At 40.4% G+C, this 27,513-nt stretch overlaps 1 protein-coding gene across 6 annotated transcripts in view; it reads right to left on the bottom strand.

The window, feature by feature from the left end:
• Positions 1–27,513, bottom strand: part of ZWILCH (zwilch kinetochore protein) — a 44,805-nt gene that overhangs the window by 16,525 nt on the left and 767 nt on the right. For 2 of the 6 annotated variants that reach the window (XR_001751344.3, NM_017975.5), the window contains exons 2-14: positions 24,714–24,765; positions 19,523–19,618; positions 17,962–18,080; positions 14,528–14,727; positions 12,946–13,016; positions 12,401–12,556; positions 9,858–9,929; positions 6,223–6,316; positions 5,694–5,749; positions 4,649–4,754; positions 4,033–4,112; positions 1,203–1,359; positions 593–621 (exon numbers count right to left, since the gene is read on the bottom strand). Coding sequence is in view for 4 of the 6 variants with exons in the window: in NM_017975.5 (NP_060445.3) it covers positions 593–621; positions 1,203–1,359; positions 4,033–4,112; positions 4,649–4,754; positions 5,694–5,749; positions 6,223–6,316; positions 9,858–9,929; positions 12,401–12,556; positions 12,946–13,016; positions 14,528–14,727; positions 17,962–18,080; positions 19,523–19,618; positions 24,714–24,765 (1,288 nt within the window). In the remaining 2 variants the exon portion in view is untranslated. Of the gene's footprint in view, positions 1–592; positions 622–1,202; positions 1,360–4,032; positions 4,113–4,648; positions 4,755–5,693; positions 5,750–6,222; positions 6,317–9,857; positions 9,930–12,400; positions 12,557–12,945; positions 13,017–14,527; positions 14,728–17,961; positions 18,081–19,522; positions 19,619–24,713; positions 24,861–27,513 lie in introns of all 6 variants that reach the window. The other 4 variants (XR_007064470.1, NM_001287823.2, NM_001287821.2 and 1 more) reach the window with 3 other exon arrangements.

Below are 27,513 nucleotides of genomic sequence, written 5' to 3'. Positions count from 1 at the left end.
CACAACAGATATAGTTTTTCTATCTTGTATTTTCATAAGAGAGAAATGATAAACAAATTGATACTATAAATTCATTTTCAAAAGGATCTTTCAATGAACGTCAAAGATCAGTACAGACACTATTCAACTTTCTGAAGTTTCTGAATGGGCTAGGAAAATACAACAAAGTTCATAACGATGACCCTGAAACCCAAAAGTATACATTAAAGATTATAAATTATTTGGAAAATAAACTTTCAAGTGTAATATAAATGAATAAAGAGAAAATAAAACAAACATTGCTTTACAGAACCTATCAAAGAAAGGCATTCCCTAAGCATTCTGGATAGATGAGATGTGTGATAGTACACTGGCTTCAGTAGGATATAACTATATATAAGTATCACAAATTTATAGAGAGTGAGAAATGACATTGAATGGGCTACTTTTTTGTCTATCTTACTAGGCAGTAATAACTACGGGCACTGACTGTCTTATTTATCCATTTCCCAGGACCTAAGACAGTGGCTAGCATATTATTGGCAGTTAATAACTGCACACAGAATGACTGAATAAAAGAAAAACCAATTTTAGAATAAAAAAATAAACTCACCAAATGATTCAAAGATGCAAGTTCCTGACCTATTAAGAAAAAACACATACATGCAAAAACACTTCAGGTATTTTCTATTACATATTAATAGAAATTAATTTAAATTTCTATTTAAATTCTTAAATTCTTAAATTACATATTAAGGAATCTATATAAATTTTTTATAGTTCCTATATGAAAGAGATTGTCAAGCTAAGTAGTTCCTCACAAAAGGCCAAGTTTCCTGGCATATTATACCATAAATATATACTAATATTTATTCTAAAAATGATCACAGCTTCTCTCTCATTAAAAACAACCAAGTGTAGGGTATTAAAACAGCATCTCATAAAAGGATTTTTTTATTTAAAATACTAACTTTATAGAACCGCAAATGTTTGAACTAAAAACAAATAAATTATCAAGAACTATGGATATAATGCATTTGATATCTTTATTGGGGGGAAACTAAGGCCCAGAGAAGGGAAATGCTCATCTCATAGTGAACCAGGTACAAAGCCAGGAAGGACTACAGACGATGAGGGACAAGCAGAAACAGAAAATCCGAGAATATCTGTGACTGATAACTGTGATGTGTTTTTTAATTTTTTGAGCCAGGAAAGATACTTACCTATGAAAAAACTGATATAATCTTTCTTTAGTTTGTCCAAACCAATTTCCAAAAGCATTTGAACTGGAATAGTCCCACTGAGAGAAACTGTGTCCATGGTTCCATGATAAGACTGATGAATGAGCTTACTTAGTAAACTGTTACTTCCACTATGGAGCTAGAAATCAGGAAAATTTTATAAAACCATGAATAAATATATAAATAAACCCAACAAGTAAAAGAGAAGCAAATTACAGTAGCTACAAACTAAAAATTATAAGCTTGCATTCCTAGTCTCCTAACACTATAAATTGTTTGAACAAAACCCCCCAAGTTATTAACATCAGTTTTTTGTTTTGAGACAGAGTCTTGCTCTGTCACCCAGGCTGGAGTGCAGTGGCACGATCTCGGCTCACAGCAACCTCTACCTCCCAGGTTCAAGCAATTCTCCTGCCTTAGCCTCCTGAGTAGCTGGGTCTAAAGGAGCATGCCACTGCACCTGGCTAATTTTTATATTTTTAGTAGAGATGGGGTTTCACCATGTTGGCCAGGCTGCTCTCAAAGTCCTGATCTCGTGATCCGCCCGCGTCGGACTCCCAAAGTGCTGGGATTACAGGCAGGAGCCATGGCACTCGGCCAGAACGTCAGTTTTTCAAATGCCATTTCTGGAACTGGGTGCAGTGGTTTACACCTGTAATTCCAGCACTTGGGAGGCTGACGAGGGTAGATCACTTGAGGTCAGGAGTTTGAGACCAGCCTGGACAACATGGTGAAACCCCGTCTCTACTAAAAATACAAAATAAACTGGCCGTGGTAGCAAGCGCCTGTAGTCCCAGCTCGGGAGGCTGAGGAAAGAGAACAGCTTGAGCCTGGGAGGCAGAGGCTGCAGTGAGCCGAGATCACAGCACTGCACTCCAGCCTGGGCAATAGAGCAAGACTCTGACTCAAAAAAATAAAATAAAATAAAATAAAATTTAAAAAGCCATTCCTATCTCATGTGTTTAAGTCCAAAGCAACTAAGAAGGGTTTAAACTTATCATCCCCAGATACGATTCCACCAAAGAGAAGCCAGAGCTGTTCCTTTGAAACTTTACAACTAGGAATTCTCCTCTCCTAGCTGAGAGGAGAATCTTTTCCACAATTGAACATCTTCTTCTACACCAAAAATCTGCTGCTGCAGTTAAACAAGCTCCCTCAATGGTCCATGCATGTTCATAAGGAACTCCTCATTGGCTACAATATCCAACATACGAACTTGATAATTTGTAAATTAAAAAGAGCTGTGAGTTTACAATTTAATTTGTGTTCCAAATGTTAAATGATTCATTTTAGGTACTCATAAAATGTCATTTCCCCACTACTTTCTATTTCTCTACTTTAACTTTCATCATAATCTTTGCAAGGTCTTTTTACAATATACACATAGTTTCACTTTGTTTGCACTAATAGTACATGGTAAGGTTAGTAAGGTTATACTTGTAAACATCTCATGAACACAGAAACTCTCAAGAGAAAAATTCAACGGCTAAAACTAAAATGCCTAGAATCACTAATGCCCAATTAAGCAGAGCTTGCATGCCTTTACTCTGGAATGTACCTTGTTCACACCCATAAAAGTTTATAACTTTTATAATGATGAATTGGTAGTCATATTACCTAAAATAATTCCTATTAAAAATCTTTTTAACTTTTTACTTAGCTTTTTCTTGACTATAAAAGTGGCACAAGTTCACTGTGGAAAATTCATAAAGTAGAAATATAACACAGTTGGAAAAACTTGTTTTTTATGAGACGGAGTCTTACTCTGTTGCCCAGGCTGGAGTGGAGTGGTGCAATCTCAGCTCACTGCCACCTCTGCCTCCTGGGTTCAAGCAATTCTCCTGCCTCAGCCTCCTGAGTATCTCAGATTACAGGTGCCTGCCACCATGCCTGGCTAATTTTTTTGATTTTCAGTAGAGGCAGGGTTTTACCATATTGGCCAGGCTGGTCTCGAGCTCCTGACCTCAAGTGATCTGCCAGCCTCAGCCTCCCAAAGAGTTGGAATTACAGGCCTGAGTCACCACGCCTGACTGGAAAAAGTCATTTGTAACCCTTCCACCAGAGGTGACTGCTATTAAGATTTTTAGCATATTTGTTTCCAGATTTTTCTCTCCAAAAGTTAACTTCATATACAATTGTGTATATTCCTTTTTATCAAATATTGTAAGCATTTCTCCATATCATTTATCAGCATCATTTTTTCAGCAACTATTACATGTGCCATATGTAGCTATATCATTATTTACTTAGCCATTCCATTAGCAAGAGAAATTTAGGTCCTTTAAATTTTTATGCCAATATAAATGAGGCTGAGATGACTATTCTGATACATAAAGTCTTGATACATATTTATGTGTATGAGCTTAGGGTACATCTTAACAAAAGAATTATTGGTTCAAAGGCCATGACACATTGTGAGGATCTCAATACATTACCAAAATTGCTTTTTAGAGAATATCTCAACTTGCATTCTCATCAGTAGTATATGAGAATACTCATTCACAGCAACACTTAACAATGACAATATTAGTAGTTTACACACACTGGGCCCTTAAGTATGAGCCAGGCACTAGGTGCATTACATGGATAACATTAATCAATCCTGGAACACTACGAGGTAGATACTATTCTTACCTTTACTTTACAGATGAGGATGTTGGGGCACAAGAAAAGTAAAGGAACCTGCCGAACTTTACACAGCTAGAAAGTAGCAGAGCTGAAATTCAGACTCAGGCAGTTGGCTTCAGAGCCTGTGTCTTTACATCATGCTATGCTGCTGAGAAAATGATCTGACACACACTACTAAACCTACCCATGGCTGTATATCACCACGTTGTAGACTCTGGATGATCAATGTGAAACACTTCACCAAGTCTTGGTATGAAATCACACCTTGGAAAACAAGTCAGTGTAACATTATTTTCAGGGTATTTCTACAGATCAAATATATCATTAATCTTAAGGATACACAAATGAAGTAGAAAGCAAGAATTTGTACTTTGCAAGCAGGGGAAAGGGAAAGAAATTAAAGTGGCAAAAAAAAAAAAGATTTAATGAATTTCTAAAGAAAGAAACCAAATTCAGATTGCCAAAAAATAATATGCTTAGTAAAATACTAAAGAATATCTTTTCCTTTTTCAATAATTATAATTTCAGTAAGGTATATGTTTTGGTTCATATAAATAGATCATGAAAATTACCTAAGTCTTATATTTAAAAAGGCAGGAGAAAAGGATAATTCTACAAATTACTTTGTCTTAGTACAATTCTTAAGCAGAATGCACCAATGTGTCATTAGAAATGAATTAGATAAAGTTAAGAACCAGACTTCCCCACAAAACTAGTGGTACACACTGTATTATTTCCAAAAGACTTAAAAATAAACCTAAGAAATAAGAGGAAAAATTTAAATCATGATGGACACCTACTACTGCTCATTTTGCACCACAGTTGCTCAGCAAAATCAAGATCACTCCGAACTTTGAAAAGACGCTTGACGGAACGATCGACTGCAGCAGTGTCATGCTTCAAGGTCTGAAAAAGAAGCAACCTTCAGAGAATACTCAGTTTTTTTTTTAAGTGAAATAATTTAAGCCTTCAAATGCTGCTCTGAGAAATTATGGATTCATGAACACACACAAAGATATGAACGAATTTTCTACAACTTCATTCACTAATGAGGAGATACAAATCAACAGTGAAAAACAAGACCCTTAATATTGTTTTAAAATTATAGTGCCTAAAAGTGAGCATTCAGCTTTCCCTCCATGTAAAAAAAAAATTAAATTACCTTGGTCTCCGTTTTCCTATTTGTCAGATGAGAATATATCTAGTTTAATTTAACAGTACCATCTTAGAGTATATTAATATATGATAGTAGAGCCATTTTATAGTAATATTAACATATTCATTTCTACTTCTCTGCAATTGAGCAACTAATAATACATATATACCAGTTCTCTTCAAAAATATTTATCAGTTCTGACCAAGCACAGTGGCTATGCCTGTAATCCCAGCACTTTGGGAGGCCAATGCAGGTGGATTGCTTGAGCCCACGAGTTCAAGACCAGCCTAGGCAATATAGTGAGAACCCATCTCTACAAAATATTTAAAAATTAGCCAGACATGGTGGTGCACACCAGTAGTCCCAGCTACTCGGGGACCTGAGGTGGGAGGATCGCTTGAGCCCTGGAGGTCAAAGCTGCAGTGAGCCATGGTGGAGCCACTGCATTCCAGCCTGGGTGACAGAGCAAGACCTTGTCTCAAAAAAATAATAATAATTAAATAAAAATATTTATCATTTCTTAAGGAAAACAATAACCAGTGCTGACAATAAAGATCAACAAAAATTCCCCTTAAATGCTGCCTTGATATCCCAAATCCATTTGCGATGGTACAACATGAAAGATGTCAGCATAACCGAATTTTAAAAGCTATTTCTGTGTATATTTCTAACTGATAATAATCACTTACCTCAACCTCAGTGTCTTTTTTTGTAGAATCACCAAATCCATCCAGCTTATTTAAGTCTAGAAAGTGGCAAAAGTTTATTAGCTCTTGATTTTTCTGCTTTCCAAATTATTTCCATCCTAATCCTATTTTCAAATGGTAAATGGGGACAGTAGAAGTCTAACTAAGGATTTTAGCAAATCACTGAACTCTGGTGGAGATTATAATAGATATCCATCAGGTGGGGGTGTGAGGATGAACGGAGGTAACAGAAAAGCCCCTGACACATGGCATCAGGCACATGGTAGGTATTCAAAGGCTACTGATTCATCTCTTTTTTCCTTCAATCTCAAATATAAATTAAATCTTATTAATTCTTAGGATTACTTAGATCTCTACCATTAGCAATTCAGAACAAAAGCTGTCCCTCTGACCATAACAGATCTCATAGCTTTGTATATATTCCAATCAAAAAAGAGTATCAAGCTTAAAGAGAAACTTATATTTAAACATAGCAAGTATAAATTCTCAATTAATAAAACAAGTAATACACCATTCAGAAATTCCTGAACAAGTTCAACAGCAGATTTTGCTTCCAGGGGCTCGAGCCATTCAGTGACACCAGTCCTCAAACCATCAGCCAAAACCTACAGGAGATTTAAAAACCCCAAAAACTTGTTAGCAGAAAACACTGTTTAATCAATAAGGATGTATGTAATAATAATATTAATTGCAGTAACATTTCTTGAGTGTTTATCACATCCCAGGTACTGCTGTGGTGCTTTATGTATAGTACATGTTATTTAATCCTAACAAAACTCTATGGTAGATATTACTATTATTCTCATCTTATTGAGGCTAAGAGAGGTTCAGTAACTTGCTCATGGTCACACAATTAGTAACTGATAGTCTCAGGATATATACCCAGTGGTCTGATCCCAAAGATGGTACTCTGAACAATGATGCCACGTGCATAGGTGCTACAGAGGACTTAAGACTGAGGATACTGGGTTTGCCCTGGAGATGCTTGCAACTTTGGCAAAGATAGACGGATAAGACAAATGAAGTAGTCTGGGGATGAATAAATGTAAAAAGTGGAAGTTTATATTAAAATAATATAAATATGTATGCACATACATACAATATCTCAATGGACTTAAGAAAAAGCAGTCAAGTGCCGGGCGCCGTGGCTCACACCTGTAATCCCAGCACTTTGGGAGGCCGAGATGGGTGGATCATGAGGTCAGGAGATCGAGACCATCCTGGCTAACACGGTGAAACCCCGTCTCTACTATAAAAATACAAAAAAATCAGCTGGGCATGGTGGCGGGTGCCTTTAGTCCCAGCTACTCGGGAGGCTGAGGCAGGAGAATGGCGTGAACCCAGGAGGTGGAGCTTGCAGTGAGCCAAGATGGTGCCACTGCATTGCAGCCTGGGCGACAGAGCAAGACTCAAAAAAAAAAGAAAGAAAAAGCAGTCAAGTTAGGCCGCAAAAGCCAGTGAAACAACTTGTAACTTCAGTTGCAACTCAAATGTGGGAACCATAGGCTGGCAGGAAAACGGCATGAAATAAGATGAAGAGGGTGGTGTGATCCCAACCAGGGTAGAAAAAGCGACTATGAAGCAGCGGGAAATAGGATTAGAAGAAATAGTAGCTAAACCATCAAGGGATCTTCAAAAGTTTTTTAACTTCATATGGCAGAAAACAGCCAATGTTGATTTTTTTGGCAGGAAAATGACATGATCTAGTTAAGAATTTCTCTATCAGAAGTATCAAGGATGGATTCCTAGGAAAGAGAAAATACAACATTTCCCAGTTGAAATGCTATCATCTCCCACTCCCGGGGGGAGGTCTTTAGAAAAATGTGAAGATGGTTGGGCATGGTGGCTCATGCCTGTAATCCCAGCACTTTGGGTGGCCGAGACAGGTGGATCACTTGAGGTCAGGAGTTCAAGACCAGCCTGGCCAACGTGGCGAAACCCCTCTTGAACTAAAAACACAAAAAAATTAGCAGGGCATGGTGGTGGGCACCTGTAATCCCAGCTACTGGGGAGGCTGAGGCAGGTAAATCACTTGAATCTAGGAGGAGGAGGCTGTAGTGAGCCAAGACTACACCACTGCACTCCAGGCTGGGTGACAGAGTGAGACTCCGTCTCAAAAAAAAAAAAAAAAAAAAAAAGAAAAATGTGAATATAATTTTTGTTGTCATAAATGATTAGGAGCATAGGCGAACTTGGGGCATGGAGTTTGGTGGGGGCCAGGGATGTTAAACATCTTGGTGTGTGTACCATGGTCCCAAATCACAAACAATGTTCCTGCCCAAATGCCAATAGTGCCCCTGTTGAGAAACAATGAATCATCATTAGCATGGTCCCAGAAGAAGATGGTAAAGATTTTAACTAAGATGAGCACAGTGAAAGAGACTTCAAAGGAGGAAAAGAATTGTATATGTATGGGGGGAAGGGTAGCAAGGTATATGTGGAATAAAAGAAAAAATCCTATCCATTTATAAAATATAGGGGGTTGAACACAGACAGACTATGGCCACATGTATATCTAAGATTCTGTGACTTTTTAAGGGAGACTTGAATTAGACAAACACACATTTAAATGAACTTGTGCCAGCTCTTCCATTTACCAGTTTGTTGTCACCTTCAGGCAAAATAACTGAACCAGCCAGCACCATGGGTGGCACACAGCAGAGTGGCAGCTTCTAGCTATAGTAGTACGTAGTGGTGATAGAAATAACAGTTCTTACTAAAGTGAAATATGAGATTTCTAGCGTAGGAAATTGAAGGAACGATGGGACCACAGACAGAAATGGGGGGTTTTCAAAGAGGATGTAGTCTGGAGAAGATAGTTTCATTTTGACATACTGACTCTTGAAGCAATAGCACTCTACCCAAGTGGGAAATAATTTGGTGGAAGTTGGAAAGATGGGAAGTGCTATCAGCTTAAAGATGAGGGTTTGGAGCTTGCTCACAAAGGTGTCAGTCAAATCACTGAATAGATCAGCTCTGCAGGGGTGCAGAGAGAGAAGGGCAGAGATGTGAGGGCAAAAGTATGATGGAGGCCCGCAGTAAGGGTCCTAAAAGAGGGGCTTTCAAGAAAGAAGAAAGGTGAGAAAGGTAGGAAAACTATCAGTTTTATACAAACAGAGAAATAATACTTACTCATAGGAAGTAAAAGTATCAAAAATAGTTGGTACTATGCTAGATGGTAAGGGCACAATAGGGAACCAGGCACTCAAATCTAGTAGAGGAGACAGATAAGTAAACAAATTACTGTGTTTTATAAACACACTGACAAGAGGTATGTGTGGAGTTCTACAGCAACACAAGCCATTCTGTGAGATCAATGCAACCATCACAGAGAGCTCACCTAGCAAAGAGGTGGGAGAAGTGCATACCAGGTAGATCAAGATGCACACACCAGAAGATGATAGAGTATGACAGGATCCGAGCTACAAGCAAGGAGCTTGGTATGATGAGGGTTGGGGGTTCAGTGGGAATGGAAGTAAAGTGTGAGATTAAGCTAAAGAAATAAGCAGGAGCCAATAAGCACATGAAATCAAAACTACAAAGAGATACCACTTCACTACCACTAGGATAGCTATAATTAAAAAACAGACAATATCAAGTGTTCACAAAGATGTAAAGAAATCAGAACCCTCATATACTACTGAAAGAAATATAAAATAACATAACTACTTTGGACAACAGTTATATTTTGGCAGTTCCTCAAAAGGTAAATATACAGTTACCATATGATCTAGTAACTCCACCCAAGACATGTGAAAACATGTCTACACAAAAACTTGCATGTAAATGTTCATGGAGGCATTATTCATAATAGCCACAAAGTAGAAACAACTAAGATGTCAATCGACTGATGAATGAACAAAATGTGGTATATCCACACACAATGGAAAAATAAATAAATTAATTAAAAAAATAAAACAACACAAAGGGTGAGAGAAATCTAGCTATTAACGACCTAATGCTCCCGTTAATTGTAAGGACAACTACCACAGAAGTAAAATTTAACTGCCCAAACTGTCAGAGCTTCTAATGGATACATAACATCTGAAGAAGTTTTGAGTAACACAAACCTAAGTAAAAACAACAATAGCACACATGTTTATAAAAACATAGATTTAAGGAAAGGAATTCTAGAAGGATACTCACAAGAAGAAATTTCAGTTCTCTGTAGAGATGATTCAAAGGACCTCTGGGCTCTCCTGATTCCACTTTAATATTCTAAAAAGTTTCCAAAGTCTGTCAGTTTTCTAGTGCTAATCCTACCTTCTCTACATAAGTGTTATACTTGCATTTCAAACTATCTTTCACACATTAAAAAATATATTTCATAAAGGACCAATGAATTGAAAAATGAGGTCAACACATCATTTAGAACATCTTACTCAGAGATTTTGCCATCTTGACCCAATAATCTAAATTAAAACCACTTATCCTCTTTCTATGACATAAACAATTGTACCTATGTGGAACAACTGCCCTCCTCACACACTCCCCTGCCTTTTCCCAAGGAATTTCCAGGAGGACAAGGTAGGAGAAATTTACATAAATATATCTCAAGATTCGGTGATAACTTAGCATTATCACAAACCAAAATGAAGTCTCCCAATAAATCTGTTTATTAGACTCCTTCTAACTAAACTAACAGTGTGCTGTCCTAGCCAGAGGTCAATGTCTTACAAACCTTAGATTGCAAACATAAAAAAAGAAAAACGTATATGCCAATGTATGTAAATTCCCATTACAGGAAAAGTATAAAGAATATAATTATCCATGTCTGGGCGCAGTAGCTCACACCTGTAATCCCAGCACTCTGGGAGGCCGAGGTGAGTGAATCAGTTGAGGTCAGAAGTTCAAGACCAGCCTGGCCAACTGGGCGAAACCCCGTCCCTACTAAACTTACAAAAATTAGCCAGGTTTAGTGGCATGCCCCTGTAATCCCAGCTATTCAGGAGGCTGAGGCAGGAGAATAGCTTGAACCTGGGAGGCAGAGGTTGCCGTCAGCTGAGATTATGCCACTGCACTCCAGCCTGGGTGACAGTAAGACTCTGTCTCAAAAAAAGAATATAATTATCCATAATCTTGCCACTCTGAAGGAACCACTATTAACACTATCCAGGCTTCTGTATATACATTTTTTAAACAATATAGTTGAGATCGCACTACATAAATAATTTATACTTTTTCTTTTTTCTTTTTGCTTAATAAGCACATCCTATTATTAATATTCAAGATTTTAAAACAGGCTTTTAGAGACTGTATATAATATTTCATCATGAAATCTATTTTAGGCCAGGTGTGGTGGCTCATGCCTGTAATCCCAGCACTTTGGGATTTCGAGACCAGCCTGGCCAACATGGTGAAAACCCGTCTCTACTAAAAATACAAACAAATTAGCTGGGCATGGTGGCATGCACCTGTAGTCCCAGCTACTTGGGAGGCTGAGGCAGGAGAACTGCTTGAACCCGGGAGGGAGGCAGAGACTGCAGTAAGCCGAGATGACGCCACTGCACTCCAGCCTGGCAGACAGAGCGAGGCTCCGCCCCAGAAAAAAAAAAAAAAAAAAGAAAGAAATCTATTTCAACTATTCCCTACTGAACATTCCAGTTTTGTTTATAGTATTTTGGAAACACAGTTATATCGCTGCACTGAATATCTTACACATGAATTTTTGTTAGCAATTTTGACTTCTTTTTTTTTGAGACAGAGTCTCACTCTGTCACCCAGGCTGGAGCGCAGTGGCACAATCTTGGCTCACTAAAACCTCTGCCTCCCGGGTTCAAGCGATTCTTCTGCCTCAGCCTCCCGAGTAGTTGGGACTACAGGCACACAACACCACACCCAGCTAATTTTTGTATTTTTAGTAGAGACAGGGTTTCACCATATTCGTCAGGCTGGTCTTGAACTCCTGACCCCGTGATCCATCCTCCTCAGCCTCCCAAAGTGCTGGGATTATAGGCATGAGCCACTGCGCCCAGCCAATTTTGACTGATTTCTTAAGACAGATTCCTAGAAATGTAAATACAGAGTGAAAGGGCTTAATATTATAATGATTCTTGATGTGTTACCAATAACTCCACCCTTTTAAGAATAAGAGGGCCAGGCACAGTGGCTCACGCCTATAATCCCGGCGTGAGCCACTTTGGGAGGTGGAGGTGGGAGGATCACTTGAGCCCAGGGGTTTGAGACCAGCTTGGGAAACATAGGGAGACTCTGTCCCTACAAAAAAAGTTAAAAAATTAGGTGTGGTGGCGTTTGCCTGTAGTCCTAGCTACTCAGGAGGCTGAGGCGGGAGGACTGCTTGAGCACAGGAGTTCGAGGCTGCAGTGAGCAGTGATCGTGCCACTTTACTCCAGCCTGGGTGACAGAGTAAGACTCTGTCTCAAAACAAAACAAACAAACAAACAAAAACACGGATTCACTTGAGCCACCACTCAAAAACTTTATTCATCACTAGAAAATTCTTAAGTTATATTATTATAGGGCTGAGGGCAACTGATAGATCAGATCACCTGACAAAACCTTCACTGGCTGCCCTGGTGAGACGTTAGTGGCAAGGTGGGCCTTTCAGAGTTGTCCAAGCTCACACTCAGCAAGTGCCAAGGCTAGAGGCATGGAGCACCAGCAACAACCAAGTAAGCCAACATTTAGGAGTCTCATGAACCCGAAAAGGAAATAGGGCCCACTCTTACCAGAGTTGCAGTTGAAGAGAGTGGAGGGATTTGAAGAATCTCATCCACAGGACTCCAGGAAATATCCAAAGCGATCGCAGTTTGTGATGCTGTGATTGTATCATCCAAGGCAGAGGACTTAAAGAGCTCATACTGGGCAAAGCCTTTGGATGTTACCTGAAAAGAGTGTACCCAGCAGATCATTTAGCTGTGCTTCCACATGGCCAAGAGTCCATTACCCAAATTATTTTGATCCTTGTCCCAAAAGAAAAAAGAGCACACACGCCATACTTTTGGGATATATACTTTCCATATATTTTTGGGATATATACTTTCCATATATCCCAAATAGAAAAGTAAGACAATTCTTTGAAACCACAAAGATTGGCTAAAAGGCATGAAGGCATTTTAATTTTGGTCATTAGCTGATATGAAAATAAACATAAACATTTTCATACTACAGAAAAATATCTAGTCATCTTAGGAGTGAAAAAAAACCTGTAAACTAGGAAGGCAGGTTGACAACAATTTGAAGAAAATAATATGAGTAGAAGCAAAACACTTACAGTAGACAAGTGATGTCTTTTCTTGTGTAAATTTTTTAGGTTTTCAAGATTTACAGAATAATTTTTATCAGCTATAGGAAATGAAAGAAAGAAATGTAAAGGCACAACTCAAAATTACATTGTCAGAGCTACAAAACTGTAATCCCTCACATTCTCAATGTACCACAACTCAACAAAATAACTGTTAAAATTAAATTTTAAATCACAGATAAGTGAAATGTTTATAAGAGAATGAAAGTGGGCTGGGTATGGTGGCTCACACATATAATCCCAGCACTTTAGGAGGCCAAGGAGGGAGGATCGTTTGAACCCAGGAGTTCGAGACCAGCCTGGGCAACATAGCAAGACCCTGTCTCTATAGAAAATTAAAAAAACAGCCAGGTGTGGTGGCATGTGCCTGTAGTCCCAGCTATTTGGGAGGCTGCGGTGAGAGGATTGCCTGAGCCCAGGAGGTCGAGGCTGCAGTGAGCCATGATTGCGCCACTGCACTCCAGCCTGGGTGACAGAGTAAGATCCTACCTCAAAAAACTAAAAATAAGAATTTAAGTGTAACAGCCAGGCGCAGCAGCACTTGCCTGTAATGCCAGCTACTCAGGAGGCTGAGGTGGGAGGACTGCTTCAGGCTGAGTTTGAGACCAGCCTGGGCAATACAGTGGGACCCTGTCTCTTAAAAACAAATTAAAAATAAAAATAAAATTAGCTGGCCATGGTTGTGCTCTCCTGTAGTCCCAGCTATTCAGGAGGTTATGGTGGGAGGATCACTTGAGCCCAGGAGTTTGAGGTTGCAGTGGCCTATGAATGCACTACGGTACCCTAACCTGGGCTACAGAGTGAGGCTCTGTCTCTAAAAAAATAAGTAAATAAAAAATAAAGTGGAAGTTGGGCACGGTGGCTCATGCCTGTAATCCCAGCACTTCGGGAGGCCGAGGGGGGTGGATCTTGAGATCAGGAGCCTGACCAATATGGTGAACCCCCGTCTCTACTAAAGACCAGCCTGACCAATATGGTGTAACCCCGTCTCTATTAAAAATACAAAAAAATTAGCCGGGCGTGGTGGCAGGTGCCTGTAATCCCAGCTACTCCGGAAGCTGAGGCAGAGAACTGCTTGAACCCAGGAGGCGGAGGTTGCAGTGAGCCGAGATCGCGCCACTGCACTCCCACCTGGGCGACAGAGCAAGACTCCGTCTCAAAATAAATAAGTAAATAAACACAAATAAAAAATAAAGTGGAATGAAGGTCAATACTACTACCAAAAATACAATTAAATGTCTACGATTGGAAACATATTGTCAGTTTGTATCTTCCAATGAAATTTTTCAATAATATACACATAGAAATAAAATGAAACCCAAATCAAAGAAGTGTAAACCTCCTGTCCAGACTTTTGGAGATCTGTTTCTGGTGTTTCTGGAATACCTCCCACATGCTGCAAGTTACACACCAGAGTAGATTTATGGTGATTAATGCAAGTTCTACCTTGTGCACTTTCATCATAACAATATCAATTTTCGTAAAAAAACATGAAACAATAACTATACAAATGAATAAATACACACACACACTCTCTAGAGAGAGCACTCACCTTTACAACTGACCACATATAAGACAATTCCTGTAATGCTGTTGTTTGTTGTGATAAGCTCAGCTCCTAGCCAACAAGTACCTTCAGGATCTGAACTGTCACATCTTACCCAAAGGGGAGGAAGGGCAGTAACTGGCAGATTAATCTTCAAATGGGTCATATTAGGATTGTGAGCCATGGTGTAAAGTCCAATTAACTGCCTTTAAAACAAGAGTAAGGACAAATTATAGATAGAGATTTCCAATTCAAGAATTTCTTTAATTTCTGAGAGACAGGGTCTCACTCTGTTGCCCAGGCTGGAATGCAGTGGTGCGATCATAGCTCACTACAGCCTTGGCCTCCTTGGCTCAAGTGATCCTCCTGTCTCAGCCTCCCAAATAGCTGGGACTACAGATACAAGCCACTGCATCAGGCTTATTTTTATGTTTTGTAGAGACAGAGTCTTGCAGTGTTGCTCAGGCTGGTCTCAAACTACTTGCCTCAAGCAATTCTTCTGCCTTAGCCTTCCAAAGTGTTGGGATTATAGGCATGAGCCACCACGTCCAGCCAGAATTTTCTTTTAAAAAGATATGAGGGGTCTTCCATCCTGGCTAACACGGTGAAACCCCATCTCTACTAAAAATACAAAAAATTAGCCTGGTGTAGTGGCGGGCTCCTGTAGTCCCAGTTACTGGGAGGATGAGAATGGTGTGAACCCGGGAGGCAGAGCTTGCAGTGAGCCCAGATCGCACCACTGCACTCTAGCTTGGGCAACAGGGTGAGACTCTGTCTCAAAAAAAAAAAAAAAAAAGACACGAGAGGTCTCACAGAAACAACAACCTAAAACTTAAATAGCAACATGTATGTATATGTATACTTTATCCATTAATAGATTCACCAGGCAGATCAAAATGCACGCACCAGAAAGTGACAGAGTATGACAGGATTGGAGCTACTATGAGCAGGGAGCTTCAATATGGCAAGGATTGGGGGTTCAGCAGGAGTGGAAGTTCAGTAGAAGTTGAAGAGGTAGGATGTGAGATTAATCTAAAGAAATAAGTAGGAGCCAGGCCGGGCGCGGTGGCTCAAGCTTGTAATCCCAGCACTTTGGGAGGCCGAGGTGGGCAGATCACGAGGTCAGGAGTTCGAGACCAGCCTGACCAACATGGTGAAACCCCGTCTCTACTAAAAATACAAAAATTAGCCGGGTGTGGTGACTTGTGCTTGTAATCCCAGCTACTCAGGAGGCTGAGGCAGGAGAATCGCTTGAACCCAGGAGGCAAAGGTTGCTGTGAGCCGAGATCACGCCATTGCACTCCAGCCTGGGCGACAGAGTGACTCTGTCTCAAAAAAAAAAAAAAAAAAAAAAAAAAGGAAAGAAAAGAAAGAAGTAGGACCCAATAAACACAAAATGATGCTGTCATTAGTGAGACAGTTAACAAAATTTGAATATGGGCTCTGATTAGGTAATGGTATTGTAATAATGTTAGATTTCCAGATTCTCATCATTGTTCCATGGTTATGTAAGAGAATGTATATGTTCATAGAGAATACACAGTGGAGCATTTAGGGGTAAAAGAGTGCCAGATCTTCACTACATTGTCAATACTTCATTTTTAAAATGGTGTATGTGTGTACATTACTATATATATATATATATATATATATACACACACACACACGCACACACAAACACAAAATCTATAGGTATAACAATAGTTATAAACATATTGTTATGATATATAGTTGTAACAATATACATATATAACTATATATGAATACATACATAGCAATACACTGCTTTGCATATATCTATCTAGAAAGAGACACAAGAGAGAGAAAAAGGAAAAGGGGAAGAAGGAGAAGAAAAAGAAGCAAATGCTGTAAAATCTAAGCAATTGGTGAATCTGGATTAAGGATATACAGAAGTTCATGCACTATTCTTGTAACTTTCCCATAAATTTGAAAGTGTATCAAAATTGAAAGTCACCAAAAAATGTGGCTTATGTTTTTATTTTTCAAAGACATGAAAACTAAATTGATTACCAACAGATGTCCAGGAAAAAAATTTCTAGGGGATTTTACTTCCAAAAAGAGGTAAAATAACCCCAGAAGGAAAATGCAAGAAGAAATGGAGAGCAAAGAAATAAGCGCATGAATCAACCCACACAAACACTGGCTGGAGAAAATAATACAAATATTTAACATTTAAGTCGTAGGGAGAAAACAGGCCAAATATGACTAAAATCAAGTACCTATGAAGGAAGAGGCTGATTAAACTTTTAAAACTTCTAGGCTGGGCGCAGTGGCTCATGCCTGTAATCCCAGCACATTGGGAGGCTAAGGCAGGTGGATCACCTGAGGTGAGAGTTCAAGACCAGCCTGGCTAACATGGTGAAACCCCGTTTCTACTAAAAATACAAAAAGTTAGCCGGACATGGTGGTGTGTGTCTGTAATCCCAGCTACTCGGGAGGCTGAGGCAGGAGAATCACTTGAACCCAGGAGGCAGAGGATGCAGTGAACTGAGATCGCACCATTGCACTCCAGCTTGGGCAACAAGAGCAAAATGCCATATCAAAGAAAAAAAAAAGAAAAAAAAAACTTCTATAGAGCAAGTAAAAACCAGCATGAAGATATAATTTTGTGAACGTTATTACAGTAGTTATCATTCTCATACCATTCTGTTAGTATTTGCATGACTATATTCGCCAGGACACCCTGAAGACAAGGACTTTTTGGTTTTGGAGGCAGGAGGAGGCTGGACAGAGGGAACTGTACATAGCTACACAGTGGGGAGGCAGGAAGTGAAGCTGGAGAGGTAGCCAGAGGCTCTCAAGTTTCTAACAGGGGCACTACTGGCACCTGGGGTGAGATAACTGCTCATTGTGCAGGAGAGTCCCATGCATTGCAGGATGTTTACCATCCACGGCGCAGGTGCACTAAATGCCAGTAGCTCCTCTCAGTCACTGTGACAAACCAAAATACTCCCCTATATTTCCAATTCCCTCTGGGTATGGTACCACCCCTGGTGGAGGACCAGTGGGGCTAGACAATGAAAGTTCCTGTGTGTCATTCTTAAGGAATTTGGGTTTTATCATGAAGCCAATGAAGAACCTCTAAAGGATTTTAAGCAGGAAAGAAGCTTGGTCAGGCTTTCATTTGAGGAAGAAAGACTGGAGGGGAACCAGATTACACATAAGGAAAACAATTGAGAAACAACAATAAATTGGTATAGAGGTGTAGAGAAAGGGAAGATAAGTGCAGTATTCTTGGTCACATTTGGGATACCTATCAAATATTCAAGTAGAACTATCCTTAGTTGGGTATACTTATCAGGGGGTGGGGGAGATGAAGGAAGATATAAGGGCTAGAGGCCTATTTTTCCCAACGTTTATAAGAATGTTTCAATTTAAATCCTAGTTGCCACCCCTACTCAGCATAAGAGAAAACCTACCTTGCCTTCCCAACTGGTAAAGCAAGTGGTCCAACATTTTCGCCAGTAGAGAAATCAGATATGGCAGTTTCTTCAGATTGAAGTTCTTCAATATGACTTGTTTCTTCCTTTTCTAAAGGCTTTAAAAATGTTCTTAATTATTTAACCAGACAAAAGAGCATATAGGATAGCAGCTGACTCTTTACTATGCTACAGAATAATGACAAGTAGAACATAATGTACTTATTTTTATACCCTTAAGCACAAATGATTGGGTTTTGGCAAGAATAGCCACAAACTAGCTTGGTACCAAAAAATCTTGCCATCAGGAGCATTTCAACTGTCCTATAAAAAGATATTGACCTTAGTTGCTAATAGCAAAGGAAGCAACTGATGCTTTTAGAAAAGGAAGTGCTCGGCAGGACATGGTGTCGCATGCCTGTAATCCCAGCATTCTGGGAGACTGAGGAGGAGAATCACTTAAGCCCAAGAGGTCGAGACAAACCAAGGCAACACAGGGAGACCTGTGACTACCAAAAAAAGAAAAGAAAAAAAAAATCAGCCAGGGTGGTGGCATGCACCTGTGGTCCCAGTTAATCAGGAGGCTGAGGTGGAAGGATTGCTTGAGCTTGGGAGGTGGAGGCTGCAGTGAGCCATGACAGTACCACCACACTCCAGCCTGGGCAAAAGAGCAAGACTACCTTAAAAGCAGAAAAGGAAGTGCTCCAACTTGCACAAAATGATTAGGTAAAGGTAAAATACCAAGGAAACCCAGACGTTCTTGGATTTTTCACTCTCAAAACAGGAAGACCTTCTTTCTGGACTATAACCTTAGGCCCACAGTCTTTTTCTCTAGGGCAATAACCTCTGATTGGTGTTAGTGGGTACTATTATCCATGTGTTTACAAAATAGTTAAATAGCTCAGCCTTGCCAATAATAACAACAAGGGAGTTTTTCAGTGAGATAAAACTGTTATATATCCTGATTGTGGTGGTGACTGCAAGAATCTACATACGTGTTAAAATTCATGGAACTGAACAACAAAAGAAGTAAGTCAGCAGGGCGTGGTGGCTCACCCCTGTAATCCCAGCACTTTGGGAGGCCGAGGTGAGTGGATCACGATGTCAGAAGATTGAGACCATCCTGGCTAATATGGTGAAACCCTTTCTCTACTAAAAATACACACAAAAAATTAGCCAGGCGTGGTGGCAGGCGCCTGTAATCCCAGCTACTCGGGAGGCTGAGGCAGGGGAATCGCTTGAACTTGGGAGGTGAAGGTTGCAGTGAGCTGAGATCGTGCCACTGCACTCCAGCCTGAGTGACGGAGCGAGACTCCATCTCAAAAAAAAAAAAAGAAATAAGTGAATTTTATCGATTATTTCTTAATGAGGCTACAAGAAAATGTTAAATTGCATATGTGGTTCATATTTATTTGTACTGGACAGCACTACACTTACTCCTAAAAGAATGAGAACTCATTTTCACCGATGCTGATTTTAAAACGTGTACGTTAGATTATTCCCAAGAAACCAAATTTGGTTATGGAGAATTAAACAACCACAAAGTCAAACCAGTACTTACCACTTTTTCCACTATGAATACTATGTCATTTTCATTTAGAATATTTTTCAAAGGGTTTGGTTGGCCTTTGCTGATCAACTGCACTTGGACATCAGCCTGTTAAAACAGGTATCGAGCAACATTATACATACACTTATATATTTCTACTATCTAAACACATAAAGACCAGTTCTATGCAAGTCAATGGAAAATTTCCTTAAGAGACAGAGTCTCGGCCGGGCACGGTGGCTCACGCCTGTAATCCCAGCACTTCGGGAGGCCCAGGCAGGTGGATCACGAGGTCAGGAGATTGAGACCATCCTGGCTAACACGGTGAAACTCCATCTCTACTAAAAATACAAAAAATTAGCCAGGCGTGGTGGCGGGCGCCTGTAGTCCCAGCTGCTCAGGAGGCTGAGGCAGGAGAATGGTGTGAACCCGGGAGGCGGGGCTTGCAGTGAGCCGAGATCGTGCCACTGCACTCCAGCCTGGGGGACAGAGTGAGACTCTGTTTCAAAAAAAAAAAAAGAGACAGAGTCTCACTATGTTGCCCAGGCTGGAGTGCAATGGCTATTCATAGGCATATGCATAGTGCATTACAGCCTCAAACTCCTGGGCTCAAGCAATCCTCCCATCTCAGCCTCCCCAGTAGCTGGAACTTCAGGTGTGTGCCACCGCACCTGGCTAATTATTTTATTTTTCATACAGATGGGGTCTCGCTATATTGCCCAGGCTGGTCTCAAAATTCTGGCCTCAAGCAGTCCTCCCACCTCTGTCTCCCAAAGTGCTGGGAATACAGGCATGAGCCACTGTCCTGGCCAAAACTTCATACATTCTCATTCCAACTGGAAGTTTATTTAAAAGTTTGAAAACAGGCTGGGTACAGTAGCTCACGCCTGTAATCCCAGCACTTTGGGAGGCCGAGGCGGATACATCACTTGAGGTCAGGAGCTTGAAACCAGCCTGGCCAACATGGGGAAACTCTATCTCTACTAAAAATACAAAAATTAGGCTGGGCACAGTGGCTCATGCCTGTAATCCCAGCACATTGGGAGGCTGAGGCGGGTGGACTGCTTGAGGTTAGGAGTTCAAGACCAGTCTGCTCAAACTGGTGAAACCACATCTCTACTAAGACTACAAAATATCAGGCAGGCATGGTGGCGGGGGCCTGTAATCCCAGCTACTCAGGAGGCTGGGGCAGAAATTGCTTGAACCTGGGAGGTGGAGCTTGCAGTGGGCCAAGATTGTGCCACTGCACTCCAGCCAGGGCAACAGAGCAAGACTCCATCTTAAAAAGTAAAAAATAAATACACAAATAAAAATGCAAAAATTAGCTGGGCATGGTGCTGGGTGCCTATAATTCCAGCTACTCGGGAGGCTAAGCCAGGAGAATTGCCTGAATCCAGAAGATGGAGGTTGCAGTGAGCCGATATCATGCCACTGCACTCCAGCCTGGGCAACAGAGTGAGATTCTGCACAGGATAATCATTACCGTTATTAGCCTGGTTGGTACACGTTCCTTTTCCAAGCATATAACTCTGTTTAAATATAAATATATGCTGGACACATTGGCACCTGTAATCCCGGCTAATCGGGAGGCTGAGATGGGAGGATGGTTTGAGGCCAGGAATTTGAGACTAGTTACAACACAGCAAGACCATGTCTCTTAAAAAAAAAAAAAATAGCCAGGTATGGTGGTGCACTGGTAGTCCCAGTTACTTGGGAGGCTGAGGTGTGAGGATCACTTGAGCCCAGGAGTTTGAGGCCGCAGTGAACTTTGATCATACTACTGAACTTCAGCCTGGGCAACAGAGTAAGACCCCATCTCTTTAAAAAATGATAATAAAAATAGAAATGTATCTATTTAGATATCTAATAGGATTTTGCCTAATAAAAACAGGATTCTAATAGTTTTATATCATGAATGTCTGTGTCATTCAATGTTCTTTGGCAGTCTAGTACCACAGCTCTTTTGTCACATAACTAATTCCATATTATATGATATTTTAGTAGTTTCCAGTTTTTTGCTATTATAAACAATTGATGACATCAATTCAAATGAACACTTTTGAATTATTTTCTTAAGATTAATACCTAAAATCACACTGATACTATTAGACTGCCTTTCAAAATGTTGCACCTACACATTTATACTTCCATCACTTATATCAACATATTAAGCATTTTCACGGCTGGGTGCAGTGGCTCACGAATGTAATCCCAGCACTTTGGGAGGCCGAGGCAGACGGATCACCTGAGGTCAGGAGTTTGAGACCAGCCTGGCTAAGATGGTGAAACCCCGTCTCCACTAAAAATACAAAATTAACAGGGCGTGGTGGTGGGTGCCTATAATCCCAGCTACTTGGGAGGCTGAAGCAGAAGAATCACTTGAACCTGGGAGGCAGAGGTACAGTGAACCAGGATCGCGCCACTGCACTCCAGCCTGGATGACAGAGTGACTCCATCTCAAATAAAAAAAAGAAAGAAAAAAAGCATTTTCATTGTTTATTTTTACCATCTCACAGTGAAACATAAGATCTTACTGTTTTGTCATTTGTTTGATCAATAATGATGGTGAACAGTTTCTTTTTATCTTTTTTTTTTTTTTTTGGAAGACAGGCTCTCGCTCTGTCACCCAGACTGGAGTGCAGTGGCACAATCTTGGCTCACTGTAGCCTTAACCTCCCAGACTCAAGCAATCCTCCAGCTGAGGCCTCCCAGTAGTAGTAGCTGGGACTATAGGTGCGTGACACCACACCCAGCTAATTTTTTTTTGCTTTTTGTAGAGACAAGGTCTCACCATATTGCTCAGGCTGGTTTCAAACTCCTCAGATCAAGCAATCCTCCCACCCCAGCCTCCCAATGTGCTAGGATTACAGGTGTGAGCCACCACACTCGGCCAAGGTAAACAGCAGTTTCTAATATGCTTATTAATCATAAATATTCTTATTATTTGAATCCATTTGGTTTCTTAGTTTGGATATTAAAGCATGAAGAAACCAAGCACAGAGAGCCAAGGATACTGTGTTATTCTAATCTACTAGGTTCTTGAGGAGTTTCAGGTACTGTTGTGGGTTGAAGTGTATCCCCAAAAATGGTATCTTGAAGGTCTAACCTCCAGTTCCTATAAATGTGACTTTACTTGGAAATAAAATCTTGGCAAATGTAATCAAGATGAGGATTAATTTGGATTAGGGCAAGCCCTAAATCCAATGACTGGTATACTTAAAAGGAAAGAGAGAGGCATAGACACGCAGGGGGAATACCACGTGTCTACAGAAGCAGAGATTTGAGTGATGTGTTTACAAGCCAAGCAATACCAAAGATTGCTGGAAACCATCAGAAGGTAGAAAGAGGCAAGGAAAGATTCTTTCTTAGAGAATTCAGGAAGAGCATGCACTTGCTGACACCTTAATTTCAGAATTTTAGTCTCCAGAACTGGGAGAGAATAAATTTTTGTGTTTGAAGCTGCCTAATTTGCAGTATTTTGCTATAGCAGCTCTAGGAAACTAATACAGATATCAAGCAGCAAGAATTCAGGCAGGAAGGGATAAATGAGTTTACCCAGATATATCTGATTCTTGAGTTTGGCTAGTGAGAATTCAGACAGTGAAAGGTAACTCTATTTGCATGTTTCTTTCTTGATTACTTACTCGTGTCCTTTGCCTATTCTTCTTTTATACTTTTTTGTCTTTCTCATTGATATTTTTTTTTTTTTTTGAGATAGTCTCGCTCTGTCGCCCAGGCTGGAGTGCAGTGGTGCGATCTCTGCTCACTGCAACCTCTGCCTCCCAGGTTCAAGTGATTCTCCTGCCTCAGCCTCTCTAGTAGCTGGGACTATAGGCACAAGCTACTGCACCTGGCATTTTATTTTATTTTATATTTTATTTTATTTTATTTATTTTATTTTATTATTTTATTTTATTAGAGACGGAGTTTCACTCTGTCGCCCAGGCTGGAGTACAATGGCTTAATTTTGGCTCACTGCAACCTCTGCCTCCCAGGTTCAAGTGATTCTCCTGCCTCAGCCTCCTGAGTAGCTGGGACTACAGGCACACGCCACCATGCCCAGCTAATTTTTGTATTTTTTAGTAGAGCTGGGGTTTCACCATGTTGGCCAGGCTGGTATCGAACTCCTGACCTCAGGTGATCCATCCACCTCAGCCTCCCAAAGTGCTGCGATTACAGGCATGAGCCATCGTGCCCAGCCATCTTCCTCATTGATTTTTAAGAGATATATATATATATATATATATATATATATATATATATATATATATATGTAGCCACACACACACATAATTATAGATATTACAGCTTCTCATTCATGAGTATTCCCCCCACCCCCAGCTTGTCTGTTAATGTATACTTTATTTTAGTTTGCTAATTATTTCATGGACATAGGTTTTATCTCCCCAAGTATGGAGAGTTTACTTATGAAACAAGTCAGCACATATTAGACACTAAATAAATATATGAATGTTTATAGCAGCTCTCATAATCATCAAAAACTGGAAAAAACCCAATGTCCTTCAACTGGTGAATGGATAACCAAACTATGGTACATCCATACAATGGAATACTACTCAGAAATAGAATGAATTGTTGATACTCACAACAACATAGATGAATCTTAAATGCATTATACTAATTGAAAGAAGCCAGAACCAAAAGGCTGTATGATTTTATTTATAGGATATTCTGGAAAAGGTAAAACTACAGAGACAAAAAATAGATTAATGTTTGCCAGGAACTAAGGGAGGGCAAAGGGCTCACTGTAAAGGGACATAAGAACATTTTTGGAGAGGATAGAAATATTCTATATCTTGATTATAGGTGGTGACTAAATAATTTATCAGAAGTTCGGCCGGGCGCGGTGGTTCAAGCCTGTAATCCCAGCACTTTGGGAGGCCGAGGCGGGCGGATCATGAGGTCAGGAGATCGAGACCATCCTGGCTAACATGGTGAAACCCTGTCTCTACTAAAAATACAAATAAATTAGTCAGGCGTGGTGGCAGGCACCTGTAGTTCCAGCTACTCGGGAGGCTGAGGCAGGAGAATGGCGTGAACCCGGGAGCCGGAGCTTGCAGTGAGCCGAGATCGCGCCACTGCACTCCAGCCTGGGTAACAGAGCATGACTCCGTCTCAAAATAAAAATAAAAACAGACAATTTTAGGATTAGAGTTGTGTTTAAAAACCAAATTGTTCATACCTCATAGAGAAATGGGTCTTTACGGATTCCTTTCTTTTCTTCATTAAATTTCCTGAAACGCAGAACCACATGTGAAAAACAGAACTACATTATCTCTCCCGTTATTCACACTCAGGAGTCAGTCATCACTTTATCTCTGCAGGACACCTATAGGAAAGGCAAAAAGCAAGTACTTACAGCAGCCCTAAGATGTAGTTGCAGAGAGAGAAAAAAAGCAGAAAAGAAGCATTAGGTTAAGAAGAAAAGAGAACCAAAAAAGAAAACTGTGACAGAGATTAATAGACTGTTGCCCTCAATTGGGTACAACTGATTCTCAGAGGCAGCAGGAAATTGGGTTGCCTGCTTCTACTGTGTGTCTTTTCAAACACATCACCAGTTAAAATTAAAATGTAACTTGCCACATGACCTTTCAAAGTAAAAATGATTGGATTCTGATCTGTTACTGAATCAGTGGGTAACCACAGAGAAGTTACTTAAGGGTCCTAGGCCTTAGATTTCTATGGCTAAAATGGAAGCATCTGTCCTCCATTTTTATAACTTGTTACTCAAAGTCAGTAAATTTGATTATGTTGACCATTTCCTTTTCAAAATGTAAGCATGAAACTCCAGGATATCATTTAATTATTATCCTTTAATTCAAGAAAGTTTTAAAATAGTGAATCTAAAGCACTTAAACTGTAATCCATTAACATACCAAAATACACACCAGCCTGATCTACACTGAAAAGAAATCTTTAGTCATTGAAGGAACCCAACAGAACTGTTTCAAGAAACCATTTATATCTATATTTGATCTAATACTATATGACTTCCTGAAATAGAAACAGAAGAGCTAGGCCTATGACTGATTCACTTTTGCCATATTGTGAAAGATCGTGATTTATTCTTACAGATGTTTATGTCTTACGTATAACTCAGGGATGTTATTTAATCAGTCTTTTTTTTTTTTTTTTTGAGATGCAGTCTCGCTCTGTGGCCCAGGCTGGAGTTGGAGTACAGTGGCGTGATCTCCGCTCACTGCAAGCTCTGCCTCCCGGGTTCACGCCATTCTCCTGCCTCAGCCTCCAGAGTAGCTAGGACTACAGGAGCCTGCCACCACGCCGGGTTAATTTTCTTTTTGTATTTTTAGTAGAGATGGGGTTTCACCATGCACTTAATCAGTCTTGCAATAATGTCTCCAGCATGTTTAATAGAGGCCAGTCACTCCTGCTAGATGCTGAGAATATCAAACAAAAGCATAGTCCCTGGTTCACAGTCCTGACTGGATTCCAACAAGTAAACCACAGTTCCATGGTGGTAAGTGCTCAGAGAGAGGCAAGTATAGGAAGCTATAGTAGAAATTTAGCTATAGGGCTTAAACTTTAACCTGAAAGCCAAGAGGAACTCACTAAATGACTTTAAATGGGAAAGATCTGACAGTAATGTGGAGGGTAATAACTTGGAGTCCAGGAAAATAGCTGTGAATAACTTGTAGCACTTCAGAGAACTGATAATGGCCTGAATGAAAAGAGCATGGATGGAGGAAGAATAAGAGGATCGACTAGATAAGGCAGGGGTGGGGGTTTTGGAATTAGAACGCTTCAGAGACAGAATTCAGAAGTAGAATGTCCAGTTGGAGGAAAAGATTAATTCAGCTTTGCAGGTATTGATCTGAGGTCCCGTGTGAAAATTCCCAGTAGTGGGGGAAAAAACAGTGTTATACTTTCTATGTGAAGTATAAAGGGTTTAAATGGGCCGGGCACGATGGCTCACGCCTGTAATCCCAGCACTTTAGGAGGCCAAAGTGGGTGGATCACGAGGTCAAGAGATTGAGACCATCCTGGCCAACATGGTGAAACCTCTTCTCTACTAAAAATAAAAATACAAAAATCAGCTAGGCGTGGTGGCATGCGCCTGTAGTCCCAGCTACTCGGGAGGCTGAGGCAGGAGAATCGCTTGAGCCCGGGAGGCAGAGGTTGCAGTGAGCCAAAATCGCACCACTGCACTCCAGCCTGGCAACACAGCGAGACTCCATCTCAAAAAAAAAAAAAAGGGTCTAAATAAAGTTGTATCAATAGAGGACTTATTTATTTATTTATTTTTAGAGACGGGTTCTCACTACGCTGCCCAGGCTGGCCTCCAACTCCTGGGCTCAAGCAGTCCTATTGCCTCAGCCTCCAGAGTAGCTAGGATTACAGGTATGCACCACCATGCCTAGTTAATAGGAGATTTTTATTTTTATTTATTTATTTATTTTAGAGACAGAGCCTTGCTCTGTTGCCCAGGCTGGAGTGCACTGGCACGATCTCGGCTCACTGCAACCTCTGCCTCCCGAGTTCAAGCAATTCTCCCAAGTAGCTGGGATTACAGGTGCCCGCCACCATGCCCGGCTAATTTTTGTATTTTTAGTAGAGACGGGGTCTTGCCATGTTGGCCAGGCTGGTCTAGAACTCCTGACCTCAAGTGATCCGCCCGCCTCGGCCTCCCAAAGTGCTGGGATTACAGGCGTGAACCATCGCGCCCGGCCTTATCTTAAATAAAGATGAAACAGCCATAGAGTGAAATACTATATAGCAGCTAAAAACAATGAGATAGATCTATAAGGAGTCACAATGAAAGATGTCCAAGACATGCCAGTTTTTTTTAAAAGCTAGTGCTCTTTCTATTCAAAACGTTTACAAGCGTCACTACTTTTGTAAGCAGGAAAAAAAGCAATGAAGATAAACAATGAAAAATTATAACATTTAGGAAATCATGGGCTAGATTACACAGCGGTTCTCAAAGTGTGATGCCCAACCAGCCGTATCCGTTACACCTAGCA

This window comes from Homo sapiens, chromosome 15 (genome assembly GCF_000001405.40).
Source record: "Homo sapiens chromosome 15, GRCh38.p14 Primary Assembly".
Classification (NCBI taxonomy): domain Eukaryota; kingdom Metazoa; phylum Chordata; class Mammalia; order Primates; family Hominidae; genus Homo; species Homo sapiens.
Note: the sequence above shows the minus strand (reverse complement) of the source record. Positions and strands in the feature narration are given on the sequence as shown.